The sequence below is a fragment of the Homo sapiens genome, chromosome 3, assembly GCF_000001405.40.
Source record: "Homo sapiens chromosome 3, GRCh38.p14 Primary Assembly".
Lineage (NCBI taxonomy): Eukaryota > Metazoa > Chordata > Mammalia > Primates > Hominidae > Homo > Homo sapiens.
Window position 1 is genome coordinate 60079245 of NC_000003.12, and position 27406 is coordinate 60106650.

General features: G+C 40.3%; 1 protein-coding gene across 8 annotated transcripts in view, besides 3 other annotated features; it reads right to left on the reverse strand.

Moving 5' to 3' along the window:
- FHIT (fragile histidine triad diadenosine triphosphatase) overlaps window positions 1–27406 on the reverse strand; it is a 1504176-nt gene that overhangs the window by 331968 nt on the left and 1144802 nt on the right. For 2 of the 8 annotated variants that reach the window (NR_135491.2, NM_001320901.2), the window contains exon 1: window positions 1547–1665. The exons of the other annotated variants lie outside the window; for them this stretch is intronic. The gene's annotated coding sequence lies outside the window, so the exon portion shown is untranslated. Of the gene's footprint in view, window positions 1–1546; window positions 1666–27406 lie in introns of those variants that run through there. 8 annotated transcript variants of the gene reach the window in all.
- Window positions 2715–2764: an enhancer, noted in NCBI's record as "active region_20017". NCBI's record gives its function as "activates an Ori minimal core promoter by ATAC-STARR-seq in GM12878 lymphoblastoid cells {active_cell/tissue: GM12878}" and the evidence as "EXISTENCE:reporter gene assay evidence [ECO:0000049][PMID:35858748]".
- Window positions 7474–7603: an enhancer, noted in NCBI's record as "active region_20018". NCBI's record gives its function as "activates an Ori minimal core promoter by ATAC-STARR-seq in GM12878 lymphoblastoid cells {active_cell/tissue: GM12878}" and the evidence as "EXISTENCE:reporter gene assay evidence [ECO:0000049][PMID:35858748]".
- Window positions 7614–7713: an enhancer, noted in NCBI's record as "active region_20019". NCBI's record gives its function as "activates an Ori minimal core promoter by ATAC-STARR-seq in GM12878 lymphoblastoid cells {active_cell/tissue: GM12878}" and the evidence as "EXISTENCE:reporter gene assay evidence [ECO:0000049][PMID:35858748]".

The window sequence follows — 27406 nt, forward strand, 5'->3', positions numbered from 1 at the left end:
CAGAGACAATGCTGTTCTAGGTCAGGAGCAGAAACACAGGCTCCTCACACATGCTTTTAAATGGGGCTTTTTACTTTCTAAAATGTGTTTCTACACAATTGAAAACAACATTACTTTTTCCAGAGTGGGAGGATGAAAGCAATCGTGGGTGGGGGCTTCTTGAGAAGAGGGGTTATTTTTTTTACTTTTAAAAAGGTCTCAGAACAGTTAAAAATAGTTTTTCCTTAAGCAGCCTCCCTCTGCTCCCTGCTCCCACCAGCTGCTCCTTCTCTCAGCCTGCCCTTCTCTTTGTCCCTTCACCATTTTCCCCTCTCTCCTTTTTGCTTCCAGTCACTCATATGCCACCCACTCCTGAGAACCCTACCTTCTCTTATTTTTTTGTTTGGCTTTGTTTTGAAAAAAATATTAATCCCAAATGAACAAAGAAGATACGTGGGAAGGAAATAAATGGTGAGCTCTTCCTTACTTCACCACCTGTCAAGTTTTAAGTTTTTCCTCCAACTCACACTAACCTCCTGCGCAACCATAAACTTCAGTGCTTGCCAAAGCCCAGAAAATTCTAAGTAAAAAGCAGAAAATGAATGCAGGGAAGGGGGTGCATTCTTATTGTTCATCAGATCTGAAAAAAATAATGCCCAGAATGTCAAATGATATTACACTATTAAAAAGGTACAGTAAAGATGTGCTAATGATAGATTTTTTTTCTACTCCAATATGTTGTAAATATTATAAACTATCATTTACTGTCATTACTTTAATGATGTAGAATGTTGAAAACTCAATCTGGGTTAATTTACAAATAAGTAATTTTGAAAGGAGAAAAAAATATCTTTTCTATTTCCGTGTAATGTCCCATTACTTGACAGTCAAAATGTGGATACAGCCAAAAGAAAAATAATGAAGGTCAAGGAGGATCAAAATTTACCTGATAGAGTACCTATCTGTTAGAAATCACTTTCCTGAAATACCTTCTCTGATTTTAGAAAACTGAAAAAACAGAAAATACACTACCTTTGACAATGCTTGCGATTCAGGGTTGTGCTTGTGTATGGGGGTGGGAGAACCTCTGCTAGGATAGGAGAAAGCTGCCAGACACAAGTTCAGATTTAATAGAAATAGCTTTCAAATCAGGAGTCTAGCCATCAACCAGTTTTAGATGGACAGTCCCAGTTTCAAGTAAATAAAATATTTGCATATTAGAGCCTCGTAGCCCTACTTAGCTGCAAGTAAATTTTCTGAGATTTACTCTGCCTTGCTTCATTTCATCCAGGCACTGATTATTTTTTCATTCTTTATTCACCAAACATTTACTAAGCACTTCTTTATACAATAAATTCTGAGCAAGGTACTAAGACATGAAGAATAAAACAGGTCTGGCTGGAGACTGCACGAAATTGCCAGTCTGTCTGAGCCTGTTTGAATTCATAAAGTCCCCGAGAAAGAAGAAATAGGTGAGGATTAGCAACCCTGTAAGAGCATTTACAAAGAAGGGAGTGCAAAAGAAGAAAATAGCACCACAGCTCAGGAGGGCAATGGTATTACTTACCAAGGGTGCAGTTTGTTTGATGACAAATCTCAAAACTGAATGCAGTGATTGTGTTAGATGCAAACACTTGGATGAAATAGATGACTGTTCTTGTGACCTTGCCAGGAAAGAGGAGGAGTGAAAGAGAGGGCTAGAGTTCTAGTCTCCTTTCTGAGTTTTGCATTCATTGGCAACCATGTACCTCTAGACATGGGAGTGCAGGCATCTATCTCTATCAAGGTACATGACATGTAATGAAAGGAAGGGATAGAGACCAGGCAAGAGAAAGCAAAGAGAGAGAAATAGACAGGGAGATGGAATGAGGTAGACAAATCTTAGAGGAATGCAGTGCTTCTCCAAGTTTGGTGCAGGAATGTTCCCATTAGAATCACCTGAGGGGGTTATTTAAAATGCAGATTCCTGGGCTCTGACCCAGGTCTGGTGAGCCTGAATGTCTGTGGCTGGGACTCTAAGATTTGCATTTTATATACGTTTTGGGGGGTGGTTCTGCATATTAAAATTTAAGATCAGACCACTCCCTAAATCCAAGGGTGCTATTTTACTGTTTACTTGACCAACAGTATAAATGGGTGTCTTCAAAGCCTTGTCACCACAACCCCATGCAGCCTGATCCACTTACTTCTCTGTATCACACTCCCTCCTCTCCCACCAAGGAAAACAGAGTGATCCTGAAGTTCCTTAAAACTCAACTCAATCTACTGCTCCTCATTAGTAATAAGGTTCTGTTCAAGGAACTATTGGCTAATCATTCATATCCTGATTGAGATACCAGCATATCCTACCCAATTATTAACTATGGATGGACTCCAACCAGGAAATCCAAAACTATATGCTGCTTACTGAATGACAATAATAAATGTAGGCTCTTATTTAATTATGCTGCGGTTTATTAACTATCCGATAATAAGGAAAACCCCTAGTTTATTATAGATCTGTGGGGTGTGTGAATATGTGTGTGTGTTTTGAGAGATATATACAGGACCCTAATCAGAGAGAGTGCCAGGAATAACAGCCATGCATGCCAGGCATCTTTTCCTGTTTCTTTTTCAGTTACTTGAATCCACCTGTGATAAACTTGCCAAAAGAAAGAGGAAGTACAATAACCACAAACGTTAAGTGATTTTTTTTTTTGTTCTACAAACTCGATGAGTTCACTGCATTGTCTACTTATCTGTTTTTGTAATTTCAACTTTTATTTTTGATTTCGGGGTGCACATGTGGGTTTGTTCCATAGGTATATTGCATGATGCTCATGTTTGGGGTATGATTAATACCATCACCCAGGTAGTGAGCATAGTACCCAATAGCTCTTTTTCAATCCTTGACCCCCTCCTTCCCTCCCACTAGTCCCCAGTGTTTATGGCTGCCATTTTCATGTCCATGTGTACCATGTTTGTCTGTTTAACTCTCACTTATAAGAGAGAACATGTAGTATTTGGTTTTCTGTTCCTGTGTTAATTTGCTTAGGATAATGACCTGCAGCTGCATTCATGGTGCTGCAACAGACATGATTTCATTCTTTTTTTATGGCCATGTAGTATTCCACTGTGTATGTGTACCGTATTTCCTTTATCTAATCCACCATTGATGGGCACCTAAGTTGATTTCATGTCTTTGCTATTGTAAATAGTGCTACAATAAACATACAGGTAGATGTATCAGTTTGGTGGAACAGTTTCTTTTCTTTTGAATATATATCCAGTAATGGAATTACTGGGTTGAACAGTAGCTCTGTTTTAAGTTCACTGAAAAACCTCCCAACTGCTTTCCACAGAGGCTAAACTAATTTACATTCCCACCAACAGTGTATAAGCATCCCCCTTTCTCCACGGTTTCACCAGCATCTGTGTCTTTTTGGCTTTTTATTAATAACTATTCTGAATGGTGTGAAATGGTCTCTCACCGTGGTTTGGATTTGTATTTCTCTGATGATTAGTGAGGTTGAGCATTTTTTCATGTTTGTTTGCTGCTTGTATGTGTTGTTTTGAGAAGTGTCTGTTCATGTATTTTGTCCACTTTGTAATAGGGCTGTTTTTTGCTTGTTGAATTGTTGAAGTTCCATATAGATTCTGGGTATTAGACCTTTGTCAGATGCATAGTTTGCAAATATTTTCTCCCATCCTGTAGGTTGTCTGTTTCTCTGTTGGTAGTTTCTTTTGCTGTGCTCAAGCTCTTCGATTAGGCCCTACTTGTTAAATTGTGTTTATGTTACATTGCTTTTGAAGACTTTGTCATAAATTATTTCCCAAGGCTGATGTCCAGAAAGACATTTCCTAACTTTTCTTCTAGGATTTTTATAGTTTAAGGTCTTACATTTAAATATTTAGTCAATTTTGAGGTAATTTTTGTATATGGTGAAAGGTAGGGGTCCAGTTTCTTTCTTGTGCATATAGTTAGCCAGCTATCCCAGCAATAACAATAGGGTGTCCTTTTTCCATTGCTTAATTTGTTGACTTTGTCAAGATCAGGCAGTTGGAGGTGTGAGGTTTTATTTCTGGGTTTTTTATTCTGTTCCATTGGTCTTTGTCTGTTTTCACGCCAGTACCATGCTGTTTTGGTTAATGTAGCCTTATAGTACAGTTTGAAGTCAGATAACATGATACCTCTGGCTGTCTTCTTTTTGCTTAGGATTGCTTTGGCTACTCGGGCTCCTTTTTGGTTCCATGTGAATAGTCTTTTCTAATTCCGTGAAAAATGACATTGGTAGTTTGATAGGAATACCACTGAAAACCTGTATATTGCTTTGGGCAACATTGCCATATTAATGATACTGATTCTTCCAATCCATGAGCATACTGTGCGGTCTTTGATATTGGGTCCTGACTAGGCCAAGAAGACAGAGATAGACTGGTCCCTCAAACCTTTTCTCTAATGTCTGGAGAGTACATATTTTATGCTTTTCAGTATGTATGGCCTCTATTGCAACAACTCAACTCTGCCATTACAGCATTAAAGCAGTCATATATAATATATAAACAAATGGGTGTGGCTGTGTTCCAGTGAAACTTTATTTACAAAAACAAATAGTGGGCCAAATTTAGCCTGCAGGCTCTTGTTTGCCAACCCCAGCTCAAATCATCCTCAGACAAAATTTAGGGAGCTGCTAATAATAACAAGGCCATGCTCTGCTATAGTGCTATTAAGCTATTGCCTCAGCATCAAATTCACCCTTTGGTATTCTCTTCTGTGATAACTGGCACGTTTATGTATTGACAAGAAAGATGACCACCACATATTAAGTGGGGAAAAAATCACACTTTTTATAGCAATATCACTTTTTTTAACAAAATATGATCCTCTATACGTACATACATAATGTTGTATAAGGATTCATAAGTCTCAGAAAGGATAATACTGAAAGGTTCAGAGGGGTAACCTCTGGAAAATGGAATCAGGAGTAGGAAGAAAAGATTACTCTGATTTTTTGCTTTACATTCTTTTGTAGTCTTTGAATTTATTTAGAGTAAGCAAATATTACCATTGTAAGTTACAACAATAAAAAGGAATAAATCAAGGTGGAGTCTTAACAGTGCTGAAACACTTTTGTTAATCCATTTCCCCAGTTCCAACCTAAGCTTTACAGAGGTGCTATTGTCAAGCAATCACTCATTCGTTCACTCTACACATATAATAGGCATCCACTTTGGGCCAGACCCTACGCTATGTGTGAGGAATTCATGAAGTTTAGGATCTAGGTGGAAAAACATAATTATATAAGCTAAAATTGTAATTAAAACAAATAATGTACATGAAGGAGAGATGGCATCACATTTCTTTATTAATATATTTATTGGGTATTATATCCCATTATTGCTGGAGGATAAAATCTATGCCAGGGAATATAAAAAGATGAGACAGAGAAAATGATACGAGTAAACACGCTGAGGACTTTAGACTCAGCATATAGGTGTTTGGTTCCTACCATATCATCTACATAATTTCCTTAAAACTGCTGTGAATATAAAATCACAACAGCTGTTTTAAAGAGACTGAAATTGAAATTCAATGAAACAAGGCATTTGTAAGTCTTCCTTGGCTTTCTACATTGATAGTGACTTTTTTTTTTCTTTTTCACACTCTTAGAATCAGGGATGGGTTAGATGTTATGATCTTGCTGTTACTTCAGGCATCTTCTGTTATCATTCTCCCTAGAGGCCAAAGGCAGAGACCATGTCTTCTTTTCTATATGTTGGAGGCACTGTCTTTTGAGTTATATGCCAAACACCTTCTCTGGAATTGGTTTGCCACTTCTAGGGACTGGCTCCCTGTCGCCATGTTTGTGTAATATGACAACAGACTTAGGCAAGTGATCCTAGCTGGGCCAGAATTCCTTCCTCACACACTCAAAACAGGAACAAAAGAGAGTGGTCTAGATTTTACAATGTATTAACTCAAGGGATGAAGAATTCCTTATAAACTAGACAGAGACAAAGATCTTCAGAGATAAAAGACGGGTACAGACAAGCAGAGAGAAGATTACCAAGAGCAGATCATTCTGTCCAGGTGCCTCTGATTTTTTGAGGTCTAGGTTCTTCCAAAGGCCCTACTACATCCTTTGCTTGGGTTTTTTTCCATATGACATCATTCTACACTTACATTATATCTTCCCTTTTCACTGAAGCATCTATATATAAATTAAAGCATCACTAACTGATGCATGTGTATATATTCCAAGATGTTTAATATTGCTTTCCTGACAGTAGGGATTTTTATCTGCAGTGCTTCAGAGCCAAAGCAAATTCTAATGTTATTTTTTTCCTCCGGAATGTTCTCCCAGAAAGTTTCTACCAGTTTGCTACAAGTTGAATGCCACTTGTTGTCATTTCAGAACCTCATATACAGTATTCTTTAATAGCCAGAAACACAATTATAGGGGAGGTCAGAAGATACATCTCCAAAGTCTTCTAAGTGTTCTCTCCTGTGCCCTACAGGCCAAAATGGTTTATATATCAAATGACCTTGGACAAGTTGTTTATCTTTTGAGTTTCAGTTGTCTCATTTGTATACAGGCAATTCTGTTGGCTCTACAGTGCTGCTGGCAGGATAAGTGACAAACTCTTTGGAAAGTCCCTCACACACAGTCAGTGTCATTTAAGGTGGCTCCTCCTGTGAGATTTTGCAATTAGGGATATGATCAGTCTTAGTCCATTTTTTGTTTTTGTGAAGAAATACCTGAGGTGGTATAATTTATAAAGAAAAGAGGTTTATTTGGCTCATGATTCTGATGGCTGGAAAGTTCAAGATTGGGTATCTGCATCTGGTGAGGGCCTCAGGCTTCTTCATCATCTCATGGCAGAAGGCAAATGGAAGCCATTGTATGCACAAATCACATGGTGAGAGAGGAAGCAAGAGAGAGAGTAAAAGGGTGGGGGGATGCCAGGCTCTTTTTAACAACCATCTCTTCTGGAAACTAATAGAGTGAGAACTTGCTTAACCCAAAGGACAGGCATCGATCTATTCATGAAGGATCTGCCCTCCTGACCCAAACACCTCCCCCAGGCCCCACCTCCCATCATTGGGGATCAAGTTTCAACATGTGGTTTTGAGAAGACAAACATCCAAACCATAGCATTCCACTCCTGGATTCCCAAAACCCATGTACTTCTCACATGTGAAATACAATTGTTTCATCTCAATAGTCCCAAAAGTCTTAACTCATTTCAAAATCAACTCAAAAGTTTAAAGTCCGAAGTCTCATCTGTGACCCAAGGTAATTTCTTTCCAGCTATGAGCCTATAGGATCAAAAATAAGATGTTTGTTTTCAACATACAATGGTTTCATGGGCACTGGGTAAACAGTCCCATTCCAAAAGGGAGAAATTGGCCAAAAGAAAGAGAAAACAGGCCCTGTGCAAGTCTGAAACTTAGCCGGGCAGACATGATATCTTAAAGCTACAAAATAATCTTCTTTGCCTCCATGCCCTACATCCTAGGTACTGCAAGGGGTGGGCTCCTAATGCCTCAGGCAGCTCTGCCCCTATAACTTCAGTGGGTGCAGCTCAAGTAGCTGCTTTCCTTGGTTGGAGTTGAATGCCTGTGGCTTTTCCAGGTTGAGGTTACACACTGCTGCTGCTGCTGGTGGCTGTATAATTTGGGAGTCCCTTTGGTAGCTCCACTTCCATAGCTCCACTAGGAACCCTGATAGAGATTCTGTGGTGGCTGCACCTCTGTGGAAGGTCTCTGTCTATGCTTTCAGAGATCTATGAGTCATCTCTAAAATCCTCTGAAATCTATGAGTCATCAAGCCTCCACCACCCTTGCATTCTGGGTGCCTGCAGACGTAACGTCATGCAAAAACTGACAAGGCTCATGGCTTGCACCCTCCAGAGAAGGAGCCTGAGCTATATCTGGGGCCATTTGAGCCATGGCTGGAGCCAGAGCAGCTGGGATGCAGGGAGCAACATCCAGAGGCAGCCCAGGGCAGCAATACTTTAGGCCTGTCACCTGAACCATTCTGTCCATCTACACCTCTGGGCCTATGATAGGAGGGGTGGTTGTGAAGATCTTTGAAATGCCTTAAGGGCCTTTTTCCCATTGGCTTGACTACTAGCACCTGGCTCCATTTTAATCATGCTAATCTCTTTAGCAATTTCACTGGACTGGGCAATAGCATTGGATTCCTCTTCTGAAAATGTTTCCTTTCCCACCAAATGGCCAGGCTGCAAATTTTCCAAACTTTTACACTCTGCTTCGCTTTTAATTATAAATTACACCTTTAGATCTTTCCTTTGCTGCTTTAATTCAGCATAACCTGTTAAAAGTAGCCATGCCACTAACTGAGGTCTTTGCAGCCTAGCATTTTCATCCACCAGATACCCCACCCTCATCACTTTTAAGTTCGACCTTCCACAAAGCCCTAGGACATGGACACGATGCAGCCAAGTTATTTGCTACTATGTAACAAGGGTGACAGTTCCCAGTAAGTTTTTCATTTTCATCTGAGACCTTGTCAGCATGGATTTTACAGTCTATATTTCTATCAGCATTTTGGTCACAACCACTTAGCCATTCTCTAAGAAGTTCAACACTTTCCCTTGTCTTTTTTTCTTCTTCTGAGACCTCCAAACTCTTCCGACTGCTGCCCATTACCCCCAACCACTGGGTACTAATTTTCTGTCTTAGTTCATTTTGTATCGCTACAAAGGTGTCACTGAGGCTGTGTAATTTATAAATAAAAGGATTTATGTGGATCACAATTCTAATGGCTAAAAAATTCAAGATTGAATATCTGCATCTGCTGAGGGCCCCTGGCTGCTTACACTCATGGTGGAAGATGAAAGGGAGCTTATGAGCTTATGTATGGAGAGATCACATGACAGAGAGGAAGCAAGATGTCAACAAGGTGCTAGTCTCTTTTCAACAATTAGTTCCCTTGGGAATTAACAGATGGAGAACTCATCCCCCAAAGGCAGGCATTAATCTATTCATGACGGATCTGCCTTCATGATCCGAACACCTCCCACCAGGCCCCACCTCCAATACTGGGGATCAAATTTCAACATGTGCCTTGACAGGGACAAACAAATCAAGCATGATCCTTAGAAACACCACATGGTAGAGTGGAAAGAGTATTTAAATGTTAGTCAGGAGACCTCTATTCTAGTTCCCTGTTCTCACTAACTAGTTGCACGGCCATGCTGCTTACTTCTTTCCAAGAAACCTGTACCTTCATGCATAAAGTGCTATTCCCTATGCCCGAGTATCATCCTACATCATCATGTCATGGAAACCCCAACTCTAATTCATGATTCATCTTGAGTCCTGACTTCTTCAGCAAGGTCTCCTCAGTTTCCACAATCAGAGGAGAACATTCCTTTTTTTGCATAAATAAACACTGTACTTGGATCTCTCTTATGGGAGTTATTAGGCTCAACCCTACTTTATAGATCTAGCACTACTCAATTCCTTCTTATTTACTTTCTAAAGACAATTCATCTTCCAAAGTTATAGAAAAACAAAGTTTAGCATTTGCTGCATATGTCCAACAAACATAATTAATTGGATAAGAAACTTGGCAGGTAATTAGTACTAGGCATACCATTTGCTTTTTTATGCCCAGAACCTAGAAAAGTGCCTGACACATGGTAGGTACTCAATAAATATTTATTAAATGAAAAAATACCCAGACTTGGTTAGGAAAGACTATGTAAGGCAACAATTTCAAGGGTATATGCTTTTAGGCCAATTCAGTTTGCCAAAATCTAGCCCTTGATGTTAAAAGGAAGCTGGGGCTTACAGAAATGGAGGACCCCAACGCTAATGGCAAGGGCAGAAATCATCATTTATGAGACATAGTCTCTTGTTTGGTGGGGAATGTTTGACAGCTAGCTGCATAATTCCACACGGTTCCACAGGAGATGATTTTGGATGTGGAGGGAACACTCCAAGCACACTTCTTATGAAGACCTATAATCAGAGGTCTTAACAAACACAAGTGATTAATATTTGTTGACTTCATGACACATTTATTTTCTTTAGAGCACTTACCACAGCTTACTCTAACTTTATTAAACTTTTTAGTATATTTTTGGGTTTTTTTTGTTGTTGGTGGTATCCTCAATAAACTATGAGTTCTGTGGGGGAAGGAACCATGATTCCCTGTCCATTGTTGTACATCCACTACACAGCACAGAGTAGATGAAGCTCAACAAATGTTGGATGAATAAATATGCATATAGTATGATGGATGGATGGTTGAGTGGATAAATGGACGGAAAGAGGCCAGCTAGTCACCCATACAAGCTTCTGGGTTATGAACCTAAATAATAACACAAGTTCAACAGCAACAAAAATAATCCCATTCCATTATAGGCTGGATGAAAGGCTTACCCACTGTCTTACACCATTAGCGCTGCTCTAACAAAATACCTGACAATGGGTGATTTATAAAGAACAGAAAATTATTTCTCACAGATCTGGGAAATCCAAGATCAAGGTCCTAGCATCTTGTTTCTGATGAGGGTAGTCTTCTGCTTCCAAAATGGTAACTTGTTGGCAGCTCCTTCGGAGGAAACAAGTGATCACCTCCCAATGGCAACATCTCGTAATATTGTTGAATTGGGGATTAAGTTTTAACATGCAATTTGGAGGAGACACAAATATTCAAACCATAGAACCCACTTAGAGATGACAGAATAACGAATATATATGAATTAAAATGAATGGAACAACAACAATAACAACAGCCATCACTTATGTAGTGCTTACTGTGTTCCAGGCATTGATCTAAATGCTTTACATATATGAATTCTTAATTCCTAATACAAAAAAGTGAGTGTTCCTTCTTGATCTGGAGCCAAGACTGCATCTATCAAAATGGGAATCTGATCATCTCTCCCATCTGCCCCCCACCCCACGTACATCAATGGTCTACATGACAATGCTACAATTAATTCCAGAAGTAAACTTAACCTCTCACTAAGTGCCCAACCAAAGAGACTGCATGGTTTCCCAGTATGAAAATGTGAAGGATCAATTCACAATTTGTTTCCTGCAAAACTGTCATTCCTCTCTTCATACCCATCACTGGAGAAATTACTTTTCAGACCATTCTACAGCTTGGGAATACTAAATAAGCCCTAATGAGTTCAAAAGTCGGTAATGACAGTACTAATTCAGTGGCCTGTTTGGTAGAAAGTCAGTCTCCCTTCTTCAAAAGCAAAATAGGATTATCAAGTGAGCTGGGAGCATTTTCTTTACGTGATTGATGGGTAGAAAAAGTAATCACCTTTGAAGTGCCACAACATATAATATATCTCCTGTGTTCTCTTTCTTCTTCTGACACCCACAAGTAATTGAAGGGAAGGGAGCCTCTTAGAATGACCAACGAAGTGAAGGTGACAACCCTTTCTCTGCTATCTACCACTAGAGTGACATGCTGGGGTCTTGAATAGTTGAGAACTGACATGAGTGTCTTTGATGGGCTGCTTTGATGCTTGGTTCAGAGTGTACCTGCCACCAGTCAGGCCACACAGACTTTGGGTGAAACATACATCTAAGGAGACAAGTGTTACTACTTCTTAGAAGCAAAGGGCCTGTGCACCTGTGAAAGAAGATCTGTTGTCTGAGCTCTGGGGTCGGGGTAAGGTCCGCAAGGTGGAAGTGAAGGAAGTCAAGGAGCAAAGCAAGTTGAAGCAGGTAAGAAACACTGAATATGATTTCAAAACAGTTTCTCATCATACTCATCCATAATGACCGATTAACCACAATGTTCAGACTGACAACTAGGAGATCATTAGCCTCTTGACCTCAGCTCACTGATGCAGAAGCAGACAGTCGTCTCCTTGGAAAAGGCACTGCTCTACAGTAGCTTACTTTGTAAGGGGATTTTTGCAACTACAAGTAATTCAACTGAAACAGAGTTGACACTCAAAAACCTTAAGAAGCAGGGATTATCAGGCAGGTGAACAGTTTTATTCTTAAGAGCTCACTCTTTCTGAACTCTCCTAAAGCCCATCCAGGCAAGGACATATGAGTTTGTTATCTGAAGGAAGAAAAATGCTTTGAAGAAGATTTATAAAGAGGAAGGGTCTTTGGTTTATTGACAAGAAAGTAAAAGACTTTCTAGAGTTGTAAGCGAAATGTCGCTGTTCAGGTTCTAGAACTTGCTGGCTAGAGAACAGATGGCTGCCACTTGTTGGCACCTGGAGTGACAAGGAGTTGAGGAAGGAAGAGAGTGTCATCCATGTGATCTGGCACAGAACATTCTTCTCTGGAGCCACTCTTATAAAGAAGAGACTGGCATGTTTGGTGGGTTTACTGTATGATATGGTTTGAATCTGTGTCCCTGCCCAAATTTCACGTGGGATTGTAATCCTTAATGTTGGAAGTGGGGCACGGTGAGAGGTGATTTGATCATGGGGGCGGTTTCTCACGAATGGTTTCGCACCATCCCCTTGGTGCTGTTCTCATGATAGTAAGTTACCATGAGATCTGGCTGTTTAAAAGTGTGCGGCACCTCCCACCTTGCCTTTCTTCTCCTGCTCCCACCACATGAGATGCCTCACTCCCCCTTTCCCTTTGCCATGACTGGAAGCTTGCTGAGACCTCCCTAGAAGCCGAAGCTGCTATGCTTCCTGTATGGCATACAGAACTGTGAGCCAATTAAACCTCTTTTCTTTATAAATTACCCAGTCTCAGATATTTCTTTACAGCAATGTGAGAACAGACAAATACACCATAGTACCTCCAACCTGCTAATTAAGTCAGGAGTCTCCCCCTGGTTGGCTGCTACCCACAGGCTCCACTACTGGTGAGTCGTAGAAGACAAATAAAGGCATTTTAAGGAATAGTACGACAATAATCTCTAGATACATCTGCAATCAAGTAACAGTAACCCCTCTCAGAAGCTATGCCAGTATGTTGCAGATACTGAACACACATCTGTTAAATGAATGAAAATGAATGAAAGAATAAATGATTATACAGTGTACTTGTTTCATAATTGTAACTGGTTTATATTGATTTGGTTATATCTGCTTGGTACCATGTGAGTTTTGATTACATAAAGATCTACAGTCTTTGTATGACATGGCCTCAGAACACAAGTCAACTTCTTCATCTGGTTCTCAACCTAAGAAATAATGATCTGTTGCAAGGACAGGCTGGCCATGGTAGAAGTACGAAGCAACATTTTATCTACATAGTACTTTAGAGGTAATGTAAGAGATTTTCAAAATCATGCTTTTACAATGTCTACATTAAGGTCTGGCTTTTAACTAAAAAGTATGTGAAACATGATAGCATTTCTAGATTGATTCCATTCAGAGGTGCTTTTATTTCACACATATATCTCAGACCAAGGGTAAGTATGGTAAGAACAAGTCACTAGGAGGCCAGCAAGAGAGGATTAATGAATGGAAGAAATGGAAAGGAGAGTGAAACACTGGTAAACTCATCCCAGCTCCAGCAAGAGGGGCCAAGATATCTGAGCTAGCTGGAACAGCACAATAATAAAAATAATAACAATAATGACATTCACTGTGAGCAAAAGAACTCTGTAAGCAAATCAAAAATATCAGTGCTAAGGGTCTTAATAGCTGATTATAATGAACTTCCTCATGTAATCTCAGGGAGCAGAAAAGAGAAAATAGATTGTGCATCTGTTCAAACTAAACATATTTCAAGCTGGAACCAGCTTGGTGCCAAAGACATCTCTGTCACAGAGAAGAAAAAATTCCAAATGGAAGAAAAATTCCACTTCATGCTCAAACACCATGAACTTCGACAGGAAAATTAGGTAACCACTGCCTCACTTACAAGGCAACGCATCAGTTTCCTATGGCTGCAGTAACAGATTAACACAAACTTAGTGGCTTCAAACCACACCACTTTCTTATCTTGCTCTTCTGGAAGTTGGGGGTCTGACACAGGTCTCCAGGTGTGGGCAGAGCTGACACCTTGAGCCTGACGCAGGTCTAAAATCAAGTTGTGCGCAGAGGTGACTTCCTTTCCAGAGGCTTCTTTTCCAGTTTCTAGAGTCCAACTACATTCCTTGGCTCGTGGCCTCTTCCTTCATCTTTAAAGTCAGCAATAATGGGACGAAACCATCTCACATCACATCACTCTGACCTGCTTTTCTGCCTCCCACCTCCACTTCTAAGAATCCTTGAGATTACACTGAGCCCACCTGGACAGTCTAGGATAATCTTCCTATTTTAACATCAGCTATTGAGCAACCTCAATTCCATCTGCAACCTTAATTCCCCACTGCATATAAGGTAACACAGCCACAGTTTCTGGGGATTACGACATGGAGGTCTTTGGTAGGAGGGGGGTATTCTATCCAGGGATCCCCAACCGCCGTGCCACACAGCAGGAGGTGAGTGGCGGGTGAGCAAGCATTACTGCCTGAGGTTAGCTTCCTATCAGATCAGCAGCAGCATTCATTTCTCACAGGAGCAAGAACCCTACTATGAACTGCACATGCGAAGGATTTAGAATGCGGGCTCCTTATGAGAATTTAATGCCTAATGATATAGGGTGGAACAGTTTCATCCCGAAACCACTCCCTCCACCACCGGGTCTGTGGGAAAATTGTCTTCCATGAAACAAGGTCCCTGGTGTCCTAAAGGTTGGGGACTGCTGTTCTATATTGCCTACTACAGGCATCAATGTTTCAAATTTACTTAAAAATCTGTTCAGGTCCAGCTACCACAAATACAAGTGAGTGCCTCTCATTTGTGAAAAACTGTGTATGTGTAAGGTGTGAGAATCCTATCTTATTTTGCTAGGCAGAGCTGACTATATGTGCTCTCAGAGCCCCCAGAATTCCAGAAAACCAAAATTTAAAAAAAAATATTGAAGATTAAAAAACAGAGAGACAGTGTTACCCAGTGAAGTTTCTAAGAGAATCTACCCACTAACAGACTTTTCCCCATCTCAAGTTCTCAATCATTCATTTTGTTACATTTTTTTATATTTGACAAATGATATCTAATGCATTTCATTGCTGTTAGCAGTTTAGACACTTATGAGAAATTAAAACCCCATTAAGTGTGAAGGCATCTAAACAATACCAGATCTGCCTTCCACTGAATATATTTTGGGATGACAGGTCTGCTTCATCTGACTCCTCAACAAGAACAGCTTATGAAACTCACAGTTTTAGTGACAGGGCCCAACCGGCACCTATTTTTGTATCACCTGGAAAAAAAAAATGCCCACATAGGCAATACATCTGATACAGAAATGAAATTAAATAGAACAATACTGAGGCATCAACCACTCAGATCCATTTCACTGTTTCCTATTCTGAGACAACCTAATTGAAGGTGGCATTCCAAGGTTAAATCCTAGCTCTGACAGCATCTCCTGTCAGACACCTGTCAAAATGTAATAAGACACCTGTGAAAGGGAAGTGATGCCAAAGCCACATCATTTTCCCCTACACCTTGATTCCTAACTTGCAGGATTCATGTCACCCAGCAAACAGAGTGGTAGCTGGGTGCTGCTGGCACTGTGCCACCATTTGCAGGTGAGGGAGGGAAGGGAAGGGAACACAAGGGGTGGGGGAGAGAGAGAGAGAGAAGAAGAGAGAGAGAGAAGGAGAGAGGGAGAGAAAAAAAAAGACAACACTGCAAAAGGAAGCACCCAAGCGTTTTAAGTTTAGCAAATGATTATGAGCATAAAAGGACAACTCTGAACGGACTTGAATTTTAGGATTCATCCCTAGAGTCTTGATCATGATCAGAAGCAGGGAATTATTTTTTAATATCTGTTTTACATAATTAAGGGGTGGTAGCTTTCATGCAAATGAACGCTTTGAATGCTCACAACACCAAATGGGCTTCATTAGCTTAGCTGGGCAATTATGAAGCAGGAAGTAAAAAGCTGAGATAAAGACTTATCTCAAAAAGGTCTGAAGCAGGGCGTGTTGATAGCCAAGAGGCACAACGATGCATTTTGTACATTTATTACCTCGGAGGCAAAACTTCTAGGATTCTAGATAGCTTTGAAAGCAGTGCATACATTCCATTTAACACCCAAATGAAACAGGTGGAATGTTTAAAGATCTGTAGAAAGTCTTGAAATCGTTCCCACACATTGGAAGGTTTTACCAAACCTTCTCTATTTATTCTAAGTGCTTTTTCTATTGTTTTTCAATTGCTTCTCTCATTTCCCTCCCGTGTACATTTCAGAGAAAATTGGAGAGCTTAAAATGCGACTAAATATAACCCCTGCACTAAGCAAACAGTGAATAAATCCTTAAGAAATTATTTTTGAAGCATATTCTTTCTGATTTGATTTAAAAACTGCAATATCACATGTGAGTCTTGCTCAGGAGAAAGGCTATTTGTTCACAAGACGACCAAGCATGTAGAGGGAAAGCTGAGGGTGAAGGGACTGAATCCGGTTCTCAGCTATTTCAATACAGATGTTTTTCTAGATAATCGGCCTCATTGTAAGTTAAAGAATCAAACATAAATCAGATCTCTCACAGGCTGAGAAAAGGCAAAACAACAGCCTGTTCGTTCTGTAAAAGGACCATTCTAGTTGGCCTATCTGGTACAACCACCTTGTTTAAAAGACAGTAAACTGAATCCAGCAAAAGTTTATTGACTTGGTCCAGAATATTACTGAGCCACCACCACAGCCAGGCTTACATCCCAGAGCTCCTGTTTCCCATCCTGGGCTGTGTATATTCTTCCACGTCACCTCCCCAGGTGGCTGGCTTTGAGAAGAAGGGAATCATAAAAAGACCAGAAATAACATATACACCTTGAAGGAGTTGACACAGGATTTTTTCTTGATCACTTTGCAAGCCAGGGACCTCTGGCCAGTGACACCCTGCCCAGGCCTCACTCGGCCATGCTACTTGCTATAGGAGATGGCCCGCCCACTTAGCCCGCTCAGGCCGAGTCTGACTTGCACACTAGTTCCCAAGTTCTTGTCCTGCGCCCCAGCAGAATGAGGATACACTGACAATCAAAGAAAAAGTCAGGGAGTTTTATTGAGTGATGAAAACAGCTTTCAGCAGAGTGGGGATGCAGGGGTGGTCCCCCTATCTGAAGGCAGGAAAGTCCACCCAATTTGTCTGAGTCTGGGGCTTTTATAGGCTCAGAATAGGGGAGGGGCAGGCAGTAGGTAGTACTCGAAAAAGCAACATTAGATTGGTTCAACGGCATTATTCAGAAAGAATCAACCAAGAAAGGTCAGGCAAACAGAAACGCAAGTTCTCACTCTGGGTCGCAGGTTTCATCCAGGACCAGCAGTCTGGTCTTTCAGCCTTCAGGCTGTTTCTGTTGGTTCGGAGGTGGGATTTCACTGGGGACTCACCTCTATCTGACTAGGTATTTGGCTGCCTCCTACTGTCCTCAGAGTCATCTGTTCATCAGTTTGTTTTCCCTGTACCTTCCTTTCTCACAAACATTCCATTGGCAGATTTCTGTTTTGTTCTGTGTGTTTCCTTTCCTTCTCCCCAGTTCAAGCTGAGGCAGACGCATGGACAAAGAAAAACAAACTGCTGGCTAAATACAGAGCAGAGAGTGTCATGGAATGTTTACAGAGGAAATGGTTTTAGGAACCAGAGAGTAGGAAAAGCTCAGGCTGGGGAAGGGGCAGGAGGATGCAAGAGGGAATGACTTTAGGGTATAAAAGGAATGGAAACGGCCAGGCACAGTGGCTTGTGCCTATAATCCTAGCACCTTGGGAGACTGGGGCAGGAGGATTCCTTCAGGCTAGGAGTTCAAGGCCAACCTGGCCAACACAGTGAGACCCTATCTCTGTTATTATTAAAAAAAAAAAAAAAAAGGAATAGAAGAACTCGAGTCCTTAAAGAATTAGGGTCTCCATGTAGAGTACCAGGTGGCCAGGTGAAAACATACCCAAATATCAAGTAAGGACACCCATTGGCCAGCACCCCCAAATTTTAGTCCAGTTATTACACCCAACTTGGACTGGCAATTTATCCCCTACAGGTAACTGAACATCTTATGGTCTGGGAAATCTACCAGCCCCTCCAAACAGAAGATGAGGAGCTTAAATGGAATAGTAGGAAGGGGGAGCTTTACCCCTTGACCATGATGGGTCTAAATAAAATGAGCTGGGAATTTCCCTAGGAGCCCAGGGTAGTGCTACAAAGAGGACACACTGCCCCTGAGGTATACTGTGTTCATTTGGGAGCTATCTAGTCCCAGTTTTCCAAGACAGACTCCAGGGAAAACAGGTCTACCTTGAACAACATGAGTTTGAACTGTGTGAGCCCACTTACACATGGATTTTCTTTCACCTTCACAACCTCTGAGACAGCAACACCAACCCCTCCTCTTCCTCCTCCTTTACAGCCTACTTAATGTGAAGACGATAAGGATGAAAAGTCTTTACAATGATCCATTTCCACTTAATAGTAATTATAATTCCTCTTTCTGATTTTCTTTTTTTAATCTTTTCTTAATTCTACCAATTAATTTTTTCTTTTTTTTAAAATTTTATTATTATTATACTTTAAGTTTTAGGGTACATGTGCACAATGTGCAGGTTTGTTACATATGTATACATGTGCCATGTTGGTGTGCTGCACCCATTAACTCATCATTTAGCATTAGGTATATCTCCTAATGCTATCCCTCCCCCCGCCCCCCACCCCACAACAGGCCCCGGTGTGTGATGTTCCCCTTCCTGTGTCCATGTGTTCTCATTGTTCAATTCCCACCTATGAGTGAGAACATGCAGTGTTTGGTTTTTTTGTCCTTGCCATAGTTTGCTGAGAATGATGGTTTCCAGTTTCATCCATGTCCCTGCAAAGGACATGAACTGATTATTTTTTATGGCTGCATAGTATTCCATGGTGTATATGTGCCACGTTTTCTTAATCCAGTCTATCCTTGTTGGACATTTGGGTTGGTTCCAAGTCTTTGCTATTGTGAATAGTGCCGCAATAAACATACGTGTGCATGTGTCTTTATAGCAGCATGATTTATAATCCTTTGGGTATATACCCAGTAATGGGATGGCTGGGTCAAATGGTATTTCTAGTTCTAGATCCCTGAGGAATCGCCACACTGACTTCCACAATGGTTGAACTAGTTTACAGTCCCACCAACAGTGTAAAAGTGTTCCTATTTCTCCACATCCTCTCCAGCACCTGTTGTTTCCTGACTTTTTAATGATTGCCATTCTAACTGGTGTGACATGGTATCTCATTGTGGTTTTGATTTGCATTTCTCTGATGGCCAGTGATGATGAGCATTTTTTCATGTGTTTTTTGGCTGCATAAATGTCTTCTTTTGAGAAATGTCTGTTCATATCCTTTGCCCACTTTTTGATGGGGTTGTTTGTTTTTTTCTTGTAAATTTGTTTGAGTTCATTGCAGATTCTGGATATTAGCCCTTTGTCAGATGAATAGATTGCAAAAATTTTCTCCCATTTTGTAGGTTGCCTGTTCACTCTGATGGTAGTTTCTTTTGCTGTGCAGAAGCTCTTTAGTTCTTACTAATATTTTCTTTTCTCTAGCAAACTTTATTGTAAGAAAACAGTATATAATACATACAACATACAAAATGTGTTAACTGATTGTGTTATCAGTAAGGCTTCTGGTAAACAGTAGTCAAATTTTGGGAGAGTCAAAAGTTATATGTAGACTTTTGACTGCCTGGGAGTCAGCACCCCTAACCCCTGTGATGTTCAAGGGTCAGTTGTATTCTGTTAGCTCACCAATGTTTACCTGATCTTACACTTGTCCTAACTTCTAATATGGAAAGGATAGGCCAATGATATAGTAGAGTGCTTAGATTTGACTGTTGACCACTGGCTCTCAAAGCCTCTCCAGTATAACTGCCTCTGCCTCTTCACCCCATCTCCCACTGTGCCTAAAACCCAACACTCCAGCCAAAGAGTAATCATGCGCTGTTGCCTGAACATACCCCATACTTGTCTCCTACTAGTCTTTGCTCATGCCAGTCTTCCTACCTCAAAGGCTCTCCCTTTGCTCTGTTTACCTCTTGATAACTTATCCATCTACCAACCAAGAATTTTTAACATCTGAAATGATTCACAAATGGAATGGGATGGGCTCAAACGATAAAAATAATAATGGCTAATTTGGTGTCAGGAACTGTGCTAAGCATGTGGAATACATTATTCTCATAATTACCTAAGAGGGAGCTATAATAATCCTCATTTCATAGATGAGGCCCAGGAGGGTCAAAGAACATTTCCAAGGTCACTCAGCTGGGATTCTGACCCAATCAGTAGGACTTTAGAGCTGGGCTGTTAACCTGTACCCTCTATGCCTCTAATGGTCCTTCTAACACTGTGACCCTGGCATTTTATAATGTAACTGTTTCTCCCCAGATCCCTTTCTGAATGCCCCCAATGAGGTGTAAGCCCTCCTTACTCTGGAAGTTATCTCACTGGCCTCACCCGACATATTTACATACTTTTTTCATCTCACCAAATACAGATGGTCCCTAACTTCAATGGTTCATCTCAAATTTTTTTGACTTTTTAATGGTTTACTGGGAGTATTAAATGCATTTTAACTCATGATAAGTTTATTGGGACACAGCTCCATCATATGTCATAGAGCATGTATACTGGGTAAGCTTCATGAAAGCGGAAACTCTGGCTGATTTACCCACAATCAGACTGTCTGAGCTGCAGCAGATATTAAAGTATTTTTCGTGAATGAACATCTTTCATGCTTCACACAGTAGAAGTGCTCCGTAAATGGTTGTGGTGTGTGTTGAATTCTGTTCAAACAATTATCAGGAACAACAGTCACAGTTTTTCACAGTAGCACACTGGAACCCCCTTTCTTCACTGTGAGTGCTGCCCTGACCCTGACAATCAGGTCAACTGGACAGTCTGTTCTCACCAGTCTCAATATAGGACTGAAAAGCTATCTTCTCCAACCAAGTTGTTTGGATCACCTGAGGTCAGGAGTTCGAGACCAGCCTGACCCCCGTCAATATGGTAAAACCCCGTCTCTACTAAAAATAAAAAATTAGCCAGGCATGGTGGTGGACGCCTGTAGTCCCAGCTACTCGGGAGGCTGAGACAAGAGAATCGCTTGAACCCGGGAGGTGGAGGTTGCACTGAGCTGAGATTGTGCCACTGTACTCCATCCTGGGCAACAGAGCAAGACTCTGCCTCAAAAAAAAAAATTGTGATTTTTTGAAACCATTAAATTCTTCACTGGTGTCATGGTACAAACAAAATCACTTGCTTTGACTCTTGGCCAAGTCCAGAATTGTGTCATTTTAAAAAACTGGTTTTTAAAAATCCTAAGTTGTTTCCACCTGCAGGCATAGGCAGAGGAGCCTTCGTCCCTCACTACGCTGACCCCGAGTGGTTCCAGTCCCATCATTCCAGAAACCCCTCTCTGGTCTTGTATCAAAAACACCACAAATCACTGGGATTGCTCTGTCATGGGGTAGAAGGGGCTCGAGGACAAAGTTTAGCTTAAAACCAGAGTGAATTTATTTCTATTACATATGGTTAAATCATGACTTCTTTTCTAATCCCTAAAGCTAAACAGTAGAGTCATGCTGGAGACACACCATCATCTATGTCAATCAGACAAAATTAAAACAGAGACCAACATCTCCTTGTTTCATTTAATTTTGTTCTCTTGTTACTGCATGTGTGACACCAAGAACCACTTGACCTTTGGACAAAAAAGTAGTTATATATAAGCCATGTATGGCTAAGGTCCTGTTTTCACAGGCCAGGAACATGTAACAGCTCTAATTCTTGTTGACTCTATTTCTGAAATAGAGTCTGAATATGTACACTTCTTTCTGTCTCAAAGTCTACCCCCTAGGCCAGACCACCATTGCTTCTTACCTGGGGAACAGGGCAGTATCTGCTCTTAACTGACCTGCCGGCCCCCGCTCCCTATTCTAATCCTTTCTGTATACAGCCGCCAGAAGGGCTTGACACAAATGTAAAGCAGGGAACCCTGACCCTGTGCTTCAATGACTTTTCAATGCATGGAGAATAACCAAGCACATTACCTGGCCTGCAAGGCCCTGCATAATGTGATGTGGCACTGTACAGATGGCCATGTCCACCTCGGGCCACTCTCCCTCACACCTCCTGCACCCTGGGCTCACTGGCTTCCTCTCACACCTGAGCACTTGCTGCTCCTTTGACCTGGAGCTCTCTTCTTTCAGCTCCCCAGGACTGGCTCTTGCTCATCCGTTAAGTTTCAGCTAAGTGTCACCTTCAGAAAGTCCTCTCTACCTATGCTTTCTACAAAGGTCTCTGCCTTCCCTCACCCACCCCATGCTATTTTCTATTACATTACGTATTTTTTTCTTCCTGCTCCTTTTTACACAAACTGCAATGATTGTCTTTACGTATTGACTTACTTATCTTCAATTTTCCCTATTGGAATGTAATTCCATGAGGGCACAGCCCTTGTTTATCTTCTTTGGCATTGTACCCCCTATTAACCTGCAACACATCACATGGATGTAAACAGTATCTGTGCAATGAATAAATTAACGAATGCCAAGTTCCATCACATTCCAAGGTCTGTCATTACCTGGGCCCCTGCCATCCTTTCCAGCCTTATCAACCAGCGCTCTCCCACATGGACAATTACGCAAGGCACACTGAGCCACTTCCTTCAGGAATAGGTCACTTTTTCTTGCCTCTGAAATTTTATACCAGCTGTTGCCTCTCGCTAGGATGTCTTTCTTCCCTTCCTCACTCAAGTCTAATTCTGCTCAAGGATCAGTTTAATTGTTACTTCCTCTAGGATTTCAAAAGAATTTTTGAATGCACCAAGGCAAAGTTAAATGTGGCAACAATCTGTCAGAAAAGCTGCCTTTTGGTGGGTGAGTCCCAGAAGTACAGAAATCATGGCTAAATCGTACCTTTATCTTCAATACAATACCTGGCACACAATAGGTGTTCAATAAGTGTTAGGCAAATGAGTGAGTTTAACTAAATTATAACTTCCTGAGAACTAACAACATCTCAATCACTACGCTCAGTATAGATTGAGGCTGAGGGCCGCCAATGTTGGCAGCAGCAAAGCCTGCTTAAATATAATAACTACAGCTGCATTGCACAGAAGTCCAGTTAGTGCAGAAGCATAAAGTTTTGAGGGTGTGTGAAAGGAACAAAGACAAAGTTCAGGTGAGACATGGAAGCAACGAGAAATGCAACATGGGGCGAGTAAGCCAGCACTTTCTGCTTTCACTTCTATCACTTTGGAAACATTTAGTCCAGAATGATCTGGGGGTTCTTACTTATGGTTCTAAGACAGCCTCCACATTCCTCAGCATGTCCAGTCACAATCACCATCTCCCCAAGAAGGCACAAAGTAAGCATCTGTAAATCCATAGTTGGCTATTTTGGAAAATTAGTGTTAAATAAGAATAAAAAAAAAAAACCCTTCACCTTTATGTGTAATAAAGCACTGCTTAACAATCAAGGTCACCCATGTCAATAACACTCCCCAAGCAAAGCTTCATATCTTTTTAATTCCTAGGCTCATAAAGACCATTGTCACTTACATCATTACAGGATTCAAGGGAGAATAACATAAAGAGAATGTGCAGGATAATTTTCAAAATAAAAGAGAAAAAAATGACACATCTACATATCAAACCACACAAGTCCCGTGTCTGATAAAATCACAATTATAGATTTGGTGCATTTAACCAGTCATACATGCCATGCATTTGCGAAGGTGCCATATGGGGGAGTTGTGGAAAGTCAAATAATTCCTAGACTTTTTCTTTCTGAGCACATGTGACAATGAATATTATTTACCCCTGTAGTATAGAAATTATGAAGCTTAAGACCCCATTGCTTCTTTTTAATAAAAGCTAACACATCACAGCTTACTGCTTGACCCAGCTCCTTGGTCTTTGCACGTTCTCCTCTCTGGGCAGCTCTCTCTCAGTTTTACCCCCTACCACAGGAAAGGAGACAGCTGTGTTTCTAGACTTGACAGACTTGTTTTTACTTGATAAACACATTGTATATTGTAGGGGAGAAAACGATCACCCCTATTCCCCTCCTTAGTTCTTATGTGGGCTCTTTGGCCCGATCTAGGAACCAAATTGACACAACACAGATTAACAAAGAAAGGCGTACACATTTTATTAATTTTACACATACATGGGAATCTTCACAAGACAGTGAAGTTCAAAGAAGTGACCAAAGCAACATGCTTTTACACGTTTTAGACAAAAACAAACAAACACCACGATAAATTTGTGAAGAAATGACAGGATAAAAAGGGATCTGGCTAGGGAAAATAATTTCTATGGGAGTGACCAGGAGCTATATGAATGTAAAACAAGTAGAAGGTAAGGATTATTTCAGGAAGTTTATTTGCTCAGACACATTGCAGCACCTAATCACAGTCTCCACTGATAAGGAATATTCTCTTACCCTTGTACGGAGAAGGCAGCCCTCCCAAAAGAATCTTTATGGCTTGCTACGTGTAGAAAAAGACTGGTCAGTTAGCCCTCTGCAATTATACTTTTTCCAACGTTTTCAGCTCGAAATAATCAACATACCAATTCGCATATTCTGGGATGGCATGTCCTTCACTGCTTCAGGAATATGTTTTCCTTTGTGCTTTACTTGGATATTAAGTTCCAACCAATTTTAATTACATGTCGCTTGTGCATAATATTGCCACTTCTAAAAAGCAGATCACTTTCTGAGTTAGAAAGCTTATCTGCTTTCCCTCCTTATAGACACTTCTGAAGCAGAAAGGAAGTAATTCCTATGCTCCTATCAGATATGGGCTCATATTTCTGTTTCAAATTTAAGTCTGTGACCCCTACATGAGGCCAGGATTTTGAGAAGAGTGAGGAAGGTAGACTCTTTTTAAACCATGCCACAGGCAAAAACTCAGAACTCATTTTGGGGAGGAAAAAAAGTCCTATCAAACCAGTATACTATAAATTAAACAATGTAGCATCAAAGATAACTTTTCCTTTAGTTGTTACCCCTGAGTGGTCACGTAGCCATAAGAAAATCACCTCCTTGTCAACACATCATCAATCAACCAGTGTTCATTAAATACCAACTCTGTGCTAGAACCTGCTTGGTATAAAGAATTCTATTTTGTGTTCAATGTGTGCATTCAGTGCTTTGATTGTAATTATCTTTGAAATGACCCAAATCATTCCAAACAACTATAAGTGACTTTATATTCAGAATAGCAAAAAGCTGACTTGAACACACAATGTAAAAGTCTTGAAGAGAGAGTGAATTAAACTTTTTTTTTTTTTTACAACAATCAGTGGGCTTATAGAATAGAAAGAGAAAGAGGGGGAGAGGTTTTTATCTTTTAGAATTGCAATGCAGTGAATAGTGATACTAGAAGAACAATCACCAAAAGATTACAGATGAGAACTTCAGATGAAAATAACAATGAAACAAAGCAAAATTCAATTAATGGCCTTAGAGAAGGTGAGATCAGAAAGAGAAACTGAAAGTTTTTTAGACTTCTCTTTAAGACAGATAAAATTTAGAATTTTTAAAAATCCATAATAAAAACCAGAACAATGCTACCTCGCCAAAGTTGAGTTCAAATTTAGTCACTTCAGTCACCAAGAATCCAGGAAACTTAGTTACTATGGGAACAGAGGTCCTCCTCTTCAGAAAGGAGGGCAGTGTTTCTTTCAAATTCCACCAGCTAAATTCAAGATCAATGATGGTTGTTTAATATCCTCTCTTGAAGCTCTTACTGTCTTTAGTATACTTTAAAATAAAATAAAAACTCAACAATAATGGAGCTCAATTAAGCATAATTTGTGTGCTTCAACCTTTGGCTGGGTGACTGCTCTGTACCGTTCACACTTGTACTGTAGAGCATTGCAATTTTTAATTAAGATCACTCATTCTATTTCCCCTGAACCAACCAATGTTGAGGTTATTGTTTGGATACAAAACTCTCCAGGATACGGCTTCACTTAACAAGGACTTTGTTTCTTTCAAGTACCAGGCACTCACTGGTTCTGAGTATAGGCTGCCTGCCCTACTTTAAAATGCATCTCAACTTTATTTCAGAGACAGTAAGATTTCATTGTTACTCTACAGGACTTAGAAATAAATGCATGCATGTACTCACACACAAAATCTCTCGATAATTTTGCATATAATACAGTTTTTGTGCTCTATGCCAACAAAGAACAGAATGTTTAGTAAATCACAGAGAAACACTTTTATTTCTTGAGACTGAGATATGTGTGGCTTCTCTACTTTTCTAGGAATTACATTTAAAATGTAAGAGGACAAGACCTCATTCAACCTTTTATGCCTACTTTAGTGATCAGGGTGAAACATATAAGAATATTGCAACACCAAAGCTGTGTGTCACTACTCAGCTAATGGTACCTATAAAGAAACTTCTCTTAATTAGCTTTACCCTGAACTAACTTCCTTTGCTCTGCCATGTATAATTAAATATGTTAGCAAGACAGAAATGTGAGATGTAGCAGCTTTCACACCCAAATTTCCGACTCCAAATTTATAAAAAGTGTGGATTTTTTTTTAGTTGAAAGCCCATCATGAAGTATTTTACTTTTACTCTAAAAACTTTCAAAATTACATTAAAAGAAGAAAAAGAAAATGGGCAGGAAAATTAGTAATGAGAGATGAATTTTCAGAGAAAAGAATTCTACAGTAGTCCCTCCTGATCTGCAGTTTCCCATTCAGTGCTTTCAGTTACCCTTGGTTAACCATGGTCCAAAAATATTAAATGGAAAATCCCAGAAATAAACAATTCATAAGTTTTCAACTGCAAGCAGTTCTGAGTAGTGTGATGAAATCTCATTGTCTCTCACTCTGTCTCTTCTGGAGCGGGAATCTTTCCTTTGTCCAGCATATTCTGGCTGTATATGCCACTCACCTGTTAGATACTTAGTAGCTATCTCTGTTACCAGATCAACTGTTGTGGTATGGCAGTGCTTATGTTTAAGTAACTCTTCTCTTACTTAACGATAGCCCCACAGAAGAGTAGTGATGCTGTAAATTTGGATATGCCAAGGAAAAGTCCCAAAGTATCTCTTTTAAGTGAAAAGTCAAAAGTTCCTGATTTAGTAAAGAGAAGTCATATGCTAAGGGTGGCAACACCTATAGGAAGAATAAATCTTCTATCCATGAAACTGGGAAAAAAAGAAAAATTCATGCTAGTTTTGCTCTCACACCTCAAACCGCAAAAGTTTCAACCACAGTTCATGATAAGTGCTTAATTAAGATGGAAAAGGCATTAAATCTGTGAAAGGAAGACATGAACAGAAATGTGTTCGTTCCTACTGATGGCAATTAGGTTCGGTACCATCTGTGATTTCAGGCACCCACTGGGGGTCTTTGATTGTATCCCCTGTGGATAAGGGGGTACTGTTGTATATCAAACAAAATCTGAGGTGCCCAGCCAAGGAC